General features: G+C 44.9%; 1 protein-coding gene across 1 annotated transcript in view; it reads right to left on the bottom strand.

Moving 5' to 3' along the window:
* Nucleotides 1-805: 805 nt before the first annotated feature.
* The window catches only part of DRG1 (developmentally regulated GTP binding protein 1), a 34849-nt gene continuing 21448 nt past the window's right edge, over nucleotides 806-14206 (bottom strand). The window contains exons 6-9 of the mRNA NM_004147.4: nucleotides 11848-11978; nucleotides 8476-8643; nucleotides 8076-8198; nucleotides 806-1386 (exon numbers count right to left, since the gene is read on the bottom strand). Of these exons, the coding sequence (NP_004138.1) occupies nucleotides 1287-1386; nucleotides 8076-8198; nucleotides 8476-8643; nucleotides 11848-11978 (522 nt within the window). The 3' untranslated portion in view covers nucleotides 806-1286. The remainder of the gene's footprint in view (nucleotides 1387-8075; nucleotides 8199-8475; nucleotides 8644-11847; nucleotides 11979-14206) is intronic.

Below are 14206 nucleotides of genomic sequence, written 5' to 3'. Positions count from 1 at the left end.
ATCACACCAGTTGCCTCACTTGCAATGCACCTTCGCCCAAGTTATTGGCTGAAGCCAGGACTTTCATGGGGATTCAAGCAGAAAGTCTGGGTTATGGGAAAGAAGGCATTTAGTTGGCCGGGCACGGTGGCTCACACCTGTAATCCCAGCACTCTGGGAGGCTGAGGCAGGCGGATCACCTGAGGTCAGGAATTCAAGACCAGCCTGACCAACATGGAGAAACCCCATCTCTACTAAAAATACAAAATTAGCGGGGCATGGTGGTACCTGCCTGTAATCCCAGCTAATCAGGAGGCTGACACAGGAGAATCGCTTGAACCCGGGAGGCGGAGGTTGCGGTGAGCCGAGATCATGCCATTGCACTCCAGCCTGGGCAGCAAGAGCGAAACTCCATCTCAAAAAAAAAAAAAGAAAAAGAAAAAGAAAAAAGCATTTTAGTGGCCCAGGTGGCAACATAGTTCAGCTCAACATTCAACCCAACACTGATGATGTACAGCTGTGCTCTGCATAGGGCAGACAGCCCAGTAAAAGGCTCGGTGCAACAAAAGCCAAGAGTCATTGAGTACTTACAAATTGCTTAGCACAGTATTTGACATATAAGTACCATCTCCCTCCATTACTAACAATCACCACCGCAGAAAGTAAGTGCTATTACTATCCCCATGTTACATGAGGAAACTGAGGCTCATAAAGGTTGGGTAATTTGTTCAGGGCTCCACAGCTAACTAGAGGTGGACCTGCAATTTCAAACCCTGATCTGCCTGGTCGGAGTACTTAATTACATGATCTCCCAAAATAGGTTAGCCTTGCGGGGAGTGATCAATTAACTTACATAAAGTCCTTCCTCTCTCCAGTATCATGTGGGAAAGACTACTTGAAAGGACTGAAAGCCATATCTAGTTTGGAAGGGGTTCCCATAAGTAAACATCAAGTAAGATGCAGCATGTCATATTTTTATCCATTTCACACTCAAGATGAAGTTCCCAAGGATCCCTTCTGTAGCTGCTTCACCGTATATACCCTTCCTCATTCAGCCCATCCCAAAACAAATTCTGACAATGACACATGAGCTGCATGTAGCTGACCAGCCTACCAGATCTTTTATGCAGTTCGACATACAAGGTGACACCAAGGTAAGACAAATGAAGTTCCAGTTTGGGTGCCTCCATCTCCCTCCCCTGGATCCTGATCCAGTGACTGCCAAAACCAGAAAGAACTGGGGTAGGGTGCTTGATCATGGGGAACGCTGTTGTGGTTCGTCCGGCAGATGGGAAAAGGGAAAGGTTTCACTTCTTCACAATTTGAATGACATCCTCATCCTCCAACGTATGGTCTTTACCCACTTTCTGAGGATTGTGTTTCACAGAGAGACCCCAGACCAGAGCACTGCATGGAAGGGAAAAAGAACAGTCAGTGTAAATAATAACCTAGCTTCTGCCCTATTTGCCTGGATGCCACCCTTCTGCTCAGATTTAGTATCATACCCTTAAGAACCATAGACCTACAAAAGCTTTATCTTCCCTAGCAGCATGAGACACTGAAGCCTTAACATAAAAGCCGGTAAAGACTTCTGGAAGTTGTGTGGTTCCTCTTATTGCAGAAAGTCAAAGACAAAAAACATGTTTAGTATAAAGAGCCTAGTTTAAAATTAAAAGAAAGCATGGATTTGTTATAGAGAAATACTCTGGGCCGGGCGCAGGGGCTCATGCCTGTAATCCCACCACTTTGGGAGGCCGAAGGGTGCGGATCACCTGAGATCAGGCGTTCAAGAAAAGCCTGGCCAACATGGTGAAACCCCGTCTCCACTAAAAATACAAAAATTAGCTGGGCATGGTGGCGGGTGCCTGTAATCCCAACTACTCGGGAGGCTGAGGCAGAAGAATGGCTTGAACCCGGGAGGCGGAGGTTGCAGTGAGCCAAGATCATGCCGTTGCACTCCAGGTTGGGCAACGAGCGAAACTCCGCCTCAAAAAAAAAAAAAAAAATCCGTCTTTAATCTTCATAGAGAAATACCCTGAAAATTTCAGACTGATTCTTACAGATACAATATCACTTATAGACTGTTAGAGAATACCTGTTTTTGCTGGGTTTCCTGAAACCATCAGTGGGTACTGACAAGAAATTAGGGCCTCCCTCTTCAGCCATGCCAGGAAAATCTTCCTCCCTAACCAGAAACTGTAATTGATATGTCCTCCCGATTTACTGGAATATGTGAAGGTAATTTATATCCATGGGCCTCCAAACTTAAGAATATGTTGTGCTAGAGATGAAAACTGGTGAATAAGACACCGAGACCTGCCTCACAGAGACTAAGAACTATGTACCAAGAGTAAAAAAGGTGGCCATATTGTTGTTATATTATCATTGAGTCAAAACCTCTTTAAAAAATCTATATTCCAGGCCGGGCACGGTGGCTCATGCCTCTAATTCCAGCACTTTGGGAGGCTGAGGCGGGCGGATCACGAGGTCAGGAGTTCGAGACCAGCATGGCTAATATGGTGAAACCCTGTCTCTACTAAAAATACAAAAATTAGGCCAGGCGTGGTGGCTCACACCTGTAATTCCAGCATTTGGGAGGCCCAGGCGGGCGGATCATGAGGTCAAGAGATCGAGACCATCCTGGCCAACATGGTGAAACCCCATCTCTACTAAAAATACAAAAAAATTAGCTGGGCGTGGTAGCGCGCACCTATAGTCCCAGCTACTTGGGAGGCTGAGGCAGGAGAATCGCTTGAACCTGGGAGGCGGAGGTTGCAGTGAGCCAAGATCGCGCCACTGCACTCCAGCCTGGGCGACTGAGTCTCTCTCAGTCTCAAAAAAAAAAAAAACACACACACACACAAAAAACACAAAGCACAGAGTAAGGGATCAGTGTGGTCAAGGACATGAAGGAAATGGAAAAGGGATAAATGTTATAATTAATTAGGCCTGAAGATGAAAGTTTTCTATTATTAAGAGAGTTGTACCAGTCTGGGCAGCATGGAGAAACCCTAGCTCTAGAAAAATAGAAAAAATTAGCCAGGCATGGTGGTTTGCACCTGTAGTCCCAGCTATTTAAAAGGCTAAGGTGGGAGGATCGCTTGAGCCCAGGAGTTCAAGGCTGCAGTGAACCACGATTACGCCACTGGACTCCAGCCTGGGCGGCAACAGAACAAGACCCTATCTCAAAAAAACCAAAAAGATAGTTGTGCAATAATTAAAGAAAAAAAAAAAAACAGTAAAATAAGAGCAAATAAAATCCTGTTTGCTTCGATATGTTTCTTATCTGAGACATTTTTCTCCCCTTTTTAATTCCCTGGTAAATTTAAAGTTCTGAAGGTTTTGAACAATGTTTTGCCACCATAGAAGGAAAGAGCTATATATAAATCTACAAAGTTTGAAAAAGGACAGTGTTTAACTTTTTACAAAAGTCATCTTTACCAGTTAAAGTAACTGCCAAAGCATAATGTTTTGACTGTGGTGGAAATTAGCACTTACATGTGGAATATAGTTGTTTTATATGTAAGGATCTGAAGGTCAATAAAGGACTTCACTCTCTCAGTACTCTTAGGATCAGAAACAAGTTTTTTCTTTCTTTGGTTGGTTTTTTGAGGAAGGGTCTCAGTCCGCTGCCCAGGCTAGAGTACAGGGGGCATGATCATTATCTTGGCTCGCTGCAATGTCAACCTCCTGGGCTCAAGCAATCCTACCTCTGCCTCCTGAGTAGCTGGGACCACAGGTGCCTGGTACCATGTCTGGCTAATTTTTTTATTTTTGATAAAAACGGGGTCTCACTATATTGCCTAGTCTGATCTCACACTCCTGGACTCAAGCAGTCCTCCTGCCTTGGCCACAAAGTGCTGAGATTACAGGCGTGAGCTACCACACCTAGCCCTATTTTCTTCTTTTGTTTTTAACCCTTTTTCCTATTCAGAAAAAAAAGTGCGGCGGGCACAGTGGCTCACGCCTGTAATCCCAACACTTTGGGGGGCCGAGGTGGACAGATCACGAGGTCAGGAGATCGAGACCATCCTGGCTAACATGGTGAAACCCCGTCTCTACTAAAAATACAAAAAATTAGCCAGGCATGGTGGCAGGCACCTGTAGTTCCAGCTACTCGGGAGGCTGAGGCAGGAGAATGGCATGAACCCGGGAGGCGGAGCTTGCAGTGAGCCGAGATCGCACCACTGCACTCAGCCTGGGCAACAGAGCAAGACTCCGTCTCAAAAAAAAAAAAAAAAAAGCGGGGGGGGGGGGGGAAGGCCGGGTGCAGTGGCTAGTGTCTGTAATCCCAGCACTTTGGGAAGCCAAAGCAGGAGAATCGCTTGAACCCAGGAGTTCGAGACCAGCCAGGGCAACATAGGGAGACCCTGTCTCTACAAATAAAAAAAAAATTTGCTGGGCATGGTGGCATACACTTATGGTCTCAGCTATTCAGAAACTGAGGTAGGAGGATCGCTTGAGCCTGGGAAGTCGAGACTGCAGTGAGCTGTGACAGAGCCACCGCACTCCAGCCTGGGAGACAGAGAACCTGTCTCAAAAATAATACTAAGTGGGAAGGCTAAAATGAACCCTGTAGTGGCCGGGCATGATGGCTCACGCCTGTAATCCCAGCACTTTGAGAGGCCGAGGCGGGCGGATCACGAGGTCAGGAGATCAAGACCATCCTGGCTAACACGGTGAGACCCCATCTCTACTAAAAATATAAAAAATTAGACGAGTGTGGTGGCGGGTGCCTGTAGTCCCAGCTACTCAGGAGGCTGAGGCAGGAGAATGGCGTGAACCCGGGAAGCAGAGCTTGCAGTGAGCGGAGATGGCGCCACTGCACTCTAGCCTGGGCGACAGAGCGAGACTCCATCTCAAAAAAAGAAAAAAAAAAAAAAATTAACCCTGTAGTATTGAACTAGAATCAGAGATAACAGTATAAACTCATGGTTTTTAGGAAAGATGGATAAATGATGGATAGTGAGGAAGGATAAGACAGATACAGAAATACAGTTGTGTATATAAGCATCATTAGTATCCATACATGTATTTCCTAACTTTATTTGCTGAGAGGGCCTACAGGCAATGATAACCTACTTGCTAACAATGAGCATGCTTAGCACCCACATCTTGAAAACTGGGGCTCCTTGGAGAAGTGACTAATTTTCAGGGCTAGTGCAGGCAAAATCAATGTCATTTGGGAACATCTAAGTATTAACACTATCAAAAAGTAAGGAAAGGGTGGCTGATGCCTGTAATCCTGCACTTTGGGAGGCAGAGATGGAAGGATCACTTGAACCCAGGAGTTTGAGAAGCCTGGGCAACATTGCAAGACCCCATCTCTACAATAAATAAATGGCTCATGCCTGTAATCCCAGCACTTTGGGAGGTGAAGGTAGGCGGATCACTAGAGCCCAGGCATTGGAGACCAGTCTGGGCAACACAAGTCGGACCTTGTCTCTACAAAAAAAATAGAAAAAACTAGCTGGGCATGGTGGCGCACACTTGGAGTTCCAACTACTCAGGAGGCTGAGGCAGGCTGAGGCTTGAGCCCATGAGATCAAGGCTACAGTGAGCTGTGATCGTGCCACTGCACTCCGGCTTGGACAACAGTGAGACCGTGTCTCAAAAAAAAAAAAGGAGCTTATCAAAAGAACACAGGGGCCAACATGAAAGAGTTCCTAATGGCCAAAGCTTTGTAGTAATTTGAGCAACAAAATAATAATAGTATTAGATTACATCCTATAGAATAAAATAACCAAGAGCTCATACTGATAGGAATTATGAGTTAAATAAAGAAGTGGTAGCTCTAACACACAGAAGTCCAATAAATAAATGTAAAATAAAAAAGGAAAATAAAGAATCACCATTAGGCCAGGCGTGGTAGCTCATGCCTGTGTGTAATCCCAGCACTTTGGGAGGCCGAGGCAGGCAGATCACCTGAGGTCAGGAGTTTGAGACCAGCCTGACTACTAAAAATACAAAAATTTCTACTAAAAATACAAAAATTAGCCGGGCACGGTGGCACACGCCTGTAGTACCAGCTACTCAGGAGGCTGAGGCAGAAGAATTGCTTGAACCCAGGAGCCAGAGGTTGCAGTGAGCTGATATCGTGCCACTACACTCCAGCCTATGGCTAGGTAAACACCATAGCCATAAATGTCACAAACAAGCCTCACCAGTAGATGCTAATAGCAGGCAAAAATTTGAAGAGAAAAAGGACTTTCACAGTCTCAAAAGTACCCCGAGATACTTATAAAATACGGAGAGAAAAATACTACCTTCACGGCAGAGAAACCCACCCTACACCAACTTAACCAAGTAATCAATGTGAATATTATCATCGGTGAGGTATATCAACATCATGAATCTCATGTAATGATACATTGAGAAGAACATATCATTATTTTTGTGGTATTCTTACCAAAAATGCATAATCTCATTTCAATCATGAGAGAACACTGGACAAACTCAAACTAAGGAATATTCAATCAAATAACTAGTGAACACTCTTCAAAAGTGTCAAGATCATCAATGACAGTGAAAGTCTAAGGAAATATTACTGGTAGACTAGAACACAAGACTACAAACAAGCAACAACTAAATGCCACACAGGTTCCTGGAACACAAAACAGACACTAGTAAAAGAAAAAGTAATAAATTTCAAATAAGATCTATAGTTAACAACATCATACCAATGCTTATTTCCTGTTTTTGATAATTTTATAGTAATGTGAGCTGTTAACATTAGAAGTGGGGTGAGAGATAAAAGGAAACTTTGGGCTGGGCGCAGTGGCTCACGCCTGTAATCCCGGCACTTTGGGAGGCCGAGGCGGGCAGATCACAAGGTCAGGAGATCAAGACCATCCTGGCTAACACGGTGAAACCCCATCTCTACTGAAAAATACAAAAAAATTAGCCGGGCGTGGTGGCGGGCACCTGTAGTCCCAGCTACTCGGGAGGCTGAGGCAGGAGAATGGCATGAACCCTGGAGGCAGAGCTTGCAGTGAGCCAAGATTGCGCCACTGCACTCCAGCCTGGGCGACACAGCGAGACTCCGTCTCAAAAAAAAAAAAGAAACTTTGTGCTGTATTTGCAACTTTGCTATTGGTCTAAAATAAGTTCAAAATAAAAAATTAATATGCTGGGCATAGTGGCTCACACCTATAATCCTAACACTTTGGGAGGCTGAAGCAGGTGAATTGCTCGAGCTCAGGAATTCAAGACCAGCCTGGGAAACAAAGCAAGACCTCGTCTCTAATAAACATTTTTTAAGGCCAGGCACGGTGGCTCATGCCTGTAATCCCAGCACTTTGGGGGGCTGAGGTCAAGAGTTCAAGACCAGCCTAACCAACATGGAGGAACCCCGTTTCTACTAAAAATACAAAATTAGCTGGGCATGGTGGGTGGCACATGCCTGTAATCCCAGCTACTCAGGAGGTTGAGGCAGGAGAATCACTTGAACCCGGGAAGCATAAGTTGCAGTGAGCCAAGATCACGCCATTGCACTCCAGCCTGGGCAACAAAAGCGAGACTGTCTCAAAAAATGAAAAATTAAAAATTAGCCGGGTATAATGGTGTGCACCTGTAGTCCCAGCTACTCAGGAGGCTGAGGCATGAGGACTGCTTGAGCCCAGAAGATTGAGGCTCCAGTGAGCTATGATCTCACCACTCCCTCCAGCCAAGGCAACAGCAAGACCGTCGCAAAAATAAAATAATTTTTTTTCAGCCTGTGTCAGCAGTGAAAAATGTAAGAGATTAGGGAGGTTTTGCCCATGTTTAAGGTTTAGAAGGGGGCTCAGTACCCAGTAGAGGCCAGTGTGACATTGGCAGGAATTATTAATATTTGTGTTTGCCAAGAGGAAGATGAAATAATGAGGGAAGGTCAGGGTTGTTTGTGTCATCAGGCTTCCTGACCTAAAGAGGTTTCTAGAGCTCTTCCTATTCTAATTAGGCACGGTTTTAAGAAGACACTGCAGAGTTCTAGCCAAGCAAACATTTCAGTAGCCTCCTTCCTGCCTTCTTTTTTAAAATGCTATCCTAAGAATTACTAGTTAGTAAAATTGGTAACTCATAGGAAAAAGGAGGGACCACAGGCCCATGATACTTACTATTTAAATTCTTTGATAAGATTTTTGTGAATCTTCATGCAGAAATCCTCCACTGTGGTCCTGGAGTAAGGAAGCACCACTGGGGATGTGTAATCTGGTAACTGGCCTTTGGGTTTGGTGTAACTAGAATAGAGAGGGCATAAAGATTACTGCCTTCTTAGACTATCTCATGTGTTGAATGTATAGCAACCCTCCATCACCCCTGACATCAGACCAGGACAACCTCCAACTTAAGGGAAAAAGTGTCCTCAATATGACCTAATGACCTAGTAGATAATAGGAACCAATTTACTTATATTTTCAAAAAGAGCCAGATTTTGTTAATGAGCTCCAGAAAGTATCATTTTAGGACAGTCTGGTTAATTCCTATAGCAACATTACCCTATCCACAAAGACTTACATTCTCACTAGTTTCAGATAGTCCCAGATCTTTTCCAATAGGTCATCAAAATTCCAGCGGTGATGGGCAGAGATGGGTACACAGTGAGGCACCTTATAGATGATATCCAATTCCTCAATGGAGATTTGGTCAATCTTATTTAACACATAGATACAGGGGATATAAACTCTACAGAAAGTGAAGAAAAACAGGGTATTAGTCTGGAGTTGTTGACAGAACTGTCAGACTGTTGAACAGCACACCCTCACCCAGACCCAACTGGCGCTCCCAAGAGGGACTGTAAGTAGCAGATCAGCCAGAAAAAGAAAAAAGAAAAAGAAAAAGTGAACTATGGGTTGAAAAGTAACAGAAGTCAGGCCCTAGTACCAGCCACAAAGCTAACTGCTAGGAAAGCATACTGCAGTGGAAAGAACACAAGCTTTGAAGTGCTCAGACTGATTCTAATCCCAGCTGGCCCTCCAAATATGCAGGTTTTGCATCCCTGAATTCAACCAACTGCAGATCAAAAACCCACAGACACGGAGGGTCAGCTGTACTATACCATTTTATATAAGGGCCTTGAGCATCTGCAGGTTTCATTATCTGCAAGGGGTCCTGGAAGCAATCCTCTGTGGATATGAAGAGGTGATGTTATGTGTCCCTAGGAAAGTCACTTAACCTCTGAGTCAGTTTCCTACAAGGCTGTTTTAAAACATAATTTATACTTAAAGACTAAAAAATAAGTGTTTTATTTATTGGTACAATAAATAATATTGGTAAAACTGATATAGCATCTACCAATGTCATATTCCTAGTGTCCAATCAATATGACAGCTAAGGTTACTACTAATTAGGCAAGCCACAACTTCTCAGGTTTAACTGCCTCACTTGTAAAATGCCTAACTGAAAACACTGGCTTCTGTTTGTTTTCAAATGAGGAGTAAGTACACTCATCCAACATACAGGAACAAATGACTAGGAGAGCAACTAAAAATATTACATGCAAATGCTATGAGTAATTTTAACAGTGACTTAACTTATTAAAGTCTCAGTAATATTAATGGGCTGGGCATAGTGGCTTATGCCTATAATCCCAACACGTTGGGAGGCCAAGGCAGGCAGATTGCTTGAGCCCAGGAGTTCAAGACCAGTCTCGGCAACGTGGTGAAACAACATCTCTACAAAAAATACAAAAATTAGCCTGGCTTGGTGGCACACGCCCATAGTCCCAGCTACTCAGGAGGTTGAGGTGGGAGGATGGATTGAGCCCGGGAGTTCAAGGCTGCGGTAAGCCGTGATCACACCACTGCACTACAGCCTGGGCGACAAGAGCATGACTCTGTCTCAAAAAAAAAAAAAAAAAGTAATGTATCATGAAACAGATATTCAGCTACATACTCTTAGGATGGAGAAAACAGACACAGCCTGGCCTGCTCGGACTTCTGTAGGACACAGCCTATATAACTTCTCAGGTGGATTAATTCTGGAAGAGCAGACTGACCTACTACTTTCTTCAACTATCACATGACAAAGTTTAGGGGGCAGCTTAGTTTACAGCAAGTAACTGAAACGGAGAATTTCATAGGAAGAGGCTGTAAAAGAAAAAAACTGAAATGGGGAATATGACCATCATAATTAAATTTAAAAGCAAGGAAGGATGTCAGAAATAAAAACTAATCCCTCAGTTTACCCCTAAAGAAACCAAAGCCAGCAGGCAGGGTGACTGACGCCTGTAATCCCAGCACTTTGGGAGGCAGAGGCAGGCAGACTGCCTGAGGTTTGAGACCAGCCTGGCTAACATGGAGAAACCCCGTCTCTACTAAAAATACAAAAATTAGCTGGGTATGGTGGCGGACACCTGTAGTCCCAGCTACTTGGGAGGCTGAGGCAGGGGAATTGCTTGAACCCGGGAGGCAGAGGTTGCAGTGAGCTGAAATCGTGCCACTGCACTCCAGCCTGGGGGACAAAGCAAGACTCCAAAAAAAAAAAAAAGGGGGGGGGGGCGGGTGCCGGGCACAGCAGCTCATACCTGTAATCCCAGCACTTTGGGAGGCTGAGGTGGGTAGATCACCTGAAGTCAGGAGTTCAAGACCAGCCTGGCCAACATGAAACCCCATCTCTACTAAAAATACAAAAAATTAGCCAGATGTAGTGGCAGGCGCCTATAATCCCAGCTACTCAGGGGGCTGAGGCCGAAGAATCACTTGAACCCAGGAGGTGGAGGTTGCAGTGAGCCAAGATCGCGCCACTGTACTCCAGCCCAGGTGACAGAGTGAGACTCTTGTCTCACAAAAAAAAAAAAAAAAAAAAAAAAAGAAACCAAAGCCCCACTATCATTTAAGATAGTAACACAGGCTGGACGCAGTGGCTCATGTCTGTAATCCTAACATTCTGGCAGGCCAAGGCAGGCGGATCACTTGAGGTCAGGAGTTTGAGACCAGTCTGGCCAACATGATGAAACCCCGTCTCTACTAAAAATACAAAATTAGCTGGGCATGGTGGTGCACACCTGTAATCTCAGCTACTTGGGAGGCTGAGGCAGCAGAATCGCTTGAACCTGGGAGGCGGAGGAGGTTACAGTGAGCTGAGATCACACCATTGCACTCCAGCCTGGGTGACAGAGTAAGACTCTGTCTCAAAAAAAAAAGGCCGGGCTCACACCTGTAAACCCAGCACTTTGGGAGACCGAGGTGGGGTGGATCACCTGAGGTCAGGAGTTCGAAACCAGCCTGACCAACACGGAGAAACCCCATCTCTATTAAAAATACAAAATTAGCCAGGCGTGGCGGCACAGGCCTGTAATCCCAGCTACTCAGGAAGGCTGAGGGAGGAGAATCGCTTGAACCTGGAAGTGGAGGTTGCAGTGAGCCGAGACTGCGCCACTGCACTCCAGCCTGGCTAACAAGAGCGAAACTCTATCTCAAAAAAAAAAAAAAAAAAGAAACCAAAGCCCACTATCATTTAAGATAGTAGCACAGGCTGGACACAGTGGCTCATGCCTGTAATCCCAACATTTTGGGAGGCCGAGGCAGACGGATCACTTGAGGTCAGGAGTTCAAGACCAGCCTGGCCAACATGATGAAACCCCATCTCTACTAAAAATACAAAAATTAGCTGGGCGTGGTGGTGCGCACCTGTAATCCTAGCTACTCGGGAGGCTGAGGCAGAAGAATCTCTTGAACCTGGGAGGTGGAGCTTGCAGTGAGCTGAGATCACGCCACTGCACTCTAGCCTGGGCAACAGAGTGAGACTCCATCTCAAAAAAAAAAAAAAAAAAAAAGACAGTAGGACAACTGGAATTAAGATAAACTTCTGCCAGATTCAAGATCCAATACTGTTTCCATCACAAGGCTTCCAATTCAGTCAGGCACAGACTGCACACTCAGTCAGTACCTGTTTCCTTCCACCACATCAATGAGGTCATCAGCTGTAGCATCACTACGTAGAGTCACATCGGCATTATGAATCTTGTATTCAGCCAGAATGCTCTTCACAGTTTCAGCATCCAGCTCACTCTGGGGGCACTGAAAGGGAATAGCAGATGACTAGTCAGCACAAAATTTAAAAAAAATACTTGTCAAGTGTACCAATATCCATGTACCTGGAAAATTCTAGCTAAGATGCAAACTCATTACTAAATACATCCGGGATGAGTGTCACTGACTTTTAGTAGGAAATAAATGTCCAAACTCCAAGGAAGGTGTTACACGCTGAACTGTGTTCCTCCTTCCCCCACCAAATAATTCACATGAAGTCTTAACCTCAGTATCTCAGAATGTGATGTATTTGGAGATAGGGTCTTTAAAGCGGTAATCAAATTAGAATAAGGTCATTAGGGTGGGGCCATAATCCAATACTGGTGGTCCTAATAAGAAAAGGAGATTAGGACACAGACACACAGAGCAAACACCATATGAAGTCCCATCTGTAAGCCAAGGACAGAAGCCTCAGAAGAAATCAACCCTGCCATCAACTTCATCTCAGACTTCTAGCCTCTAGAATTATGAAAAATAAATTTCTGTTATTTAAGCCACCCATCTGTGGTACCGTATTATGGCAGCACTGAAACTAACACAGAAATAATCTTAAATGTTCAAATTTGAATATTAAGACGGGATAATGGGAAAGATGTTTTGGGCAGGACAGCTGAAACCTATGCCAGTCAAATCATCTGGGCTCTGAAGTGTTAAATTTAGTAGGAAACTCTCAGTCCTCAATTCTGACAGAGAAGCAGCATTTGACAGAATTGGTCACTCCTATGTGAAACACTTTACTTGGCTTCCAGTATTTCAAACTCTTTCAGTTTTCCTTCTCTCTCTTGGTCTAAGAAGTCTTATTTCTCTGAGTCTCTTTTCTTTCTTTTTTTTCTTTTGAGACGGAGTTTTGCTCTTGTTGCCCAGGCTGGAGTGCAGTGGCGCGATCTCAGCTCACTGCAACCTCCGCCTCCTGGGTTCAAGCAATTCTCCTGCCTCAGCCTCCGAAGTACCAGGATCACAGGCACGTGCCACCACGCCTGGCTAATTTTTGTATTTTTAGTACAGACAGGGTTTTGCCATGTTGGTCAGGCTGGCCTCCAACTCCTGACCTCATGTAATCTGCCCACTTCGGCCTCCCAAAGTGTTGGGATTACAGGCGTAAGCCACCGTGCCTGGCCGATTCTCTTTTCTTTTCTTTCTTTCTTTCTTTTTTTTTTTGAGACGGAGTCCCGCTCTGTCACCAGGCTGGAGTGCAGTGGCGTCATCTCGGCTCACTGCAACCTCCACCTCTTGGGTTCGATTCTCCTGCCTCAGCCTCCCGAGTAGCTGAGATTACAAGTGCGTGCCACCATGCCCGGCTAATTTTTGTGTTTTTAGTAGATACAGGGTTTCACCATGTTGGCCAGGATGGTCTCCATCTCTTGACCTTGTGATCCGCCCACCTCGGACTCCCAAAGTACTGGGATTACAGGTGTGAGCCACTGCACCCAGCTCTCTTTTCTTTTCTATCTATACTCACATCCTTGGTGATCTCAGTTAGGCCCATGACATTAAAGTTGATAATCACCAAATTTATATATCCAGCCTAGATAATTCCTCATGCCTTCTTTATTATTTTTATAGAGATGGGGTCTCACTTTGTTGCCCAAGCTGGTCTTGAACTCCTGGGCTCAAGTGATCCTCCTGCCTCAACCTCCCAAAGTGCTGGGATTATAGATGTACAGGCATGAGCCACCATGCCCAGCCTACCCCACATGCCCTCTTGACTGAAATACCTGGATGTCTCACTGGCATCTAAAATTTAACATCCTGATCTTCTCCTTCCCTCCAAATCTATTCTACCAAAAGTCCTACCATTTTAGTAATAAGAGTTCATTTTTTTTTTAGCTCAGGAAATAAAAAACATGGCTGGGTATGGTGGCTCATACCTGTAATCCCAACACTTTGGGAGACCGAAGCAGGAGACAGCTTGAGGCCAAAAGTTCAAGACCAGCCTGGGCAACATGGCAAATCTCCGTTTCTACCAAAAAAAAAAAAAAAAAAAAAAATTAGCCAAGCCTGGAGGCATGTGACTTAGCCCTAGCTACTTAGAAGGCTGAGGCAGGAGGGTCACTTGAGCCCAAGAGTTTTGAGCTAACAGTGAACTATGATTGTGCCACTGTACTCCAGCCTAAGCAACAGAATGAAACCGACCAGCCTGGCCAACATGGTGAAACCCCGTCTCTACTAAAAATACAAAAGTTAGCTGGGTGCGATGGCAGGCACCTGTAATCCCA

The sequence above is a fragment of the Homo sapiens genome, chromosome 22 (genome assembly GCF_000001405.40).
Source record: "Homo sapiens chromosome 22, GRCh38.p14 Primary Assembly".
Taxonomy (NCBI): Eukaryota; Metazoa; Chordata; class Mammalia; order Primates; family Hominidae; genus Homo; species Homo sapiens.
This window is presented reverse-complemented; position numbering and strand designations above follow the sequence as displayed.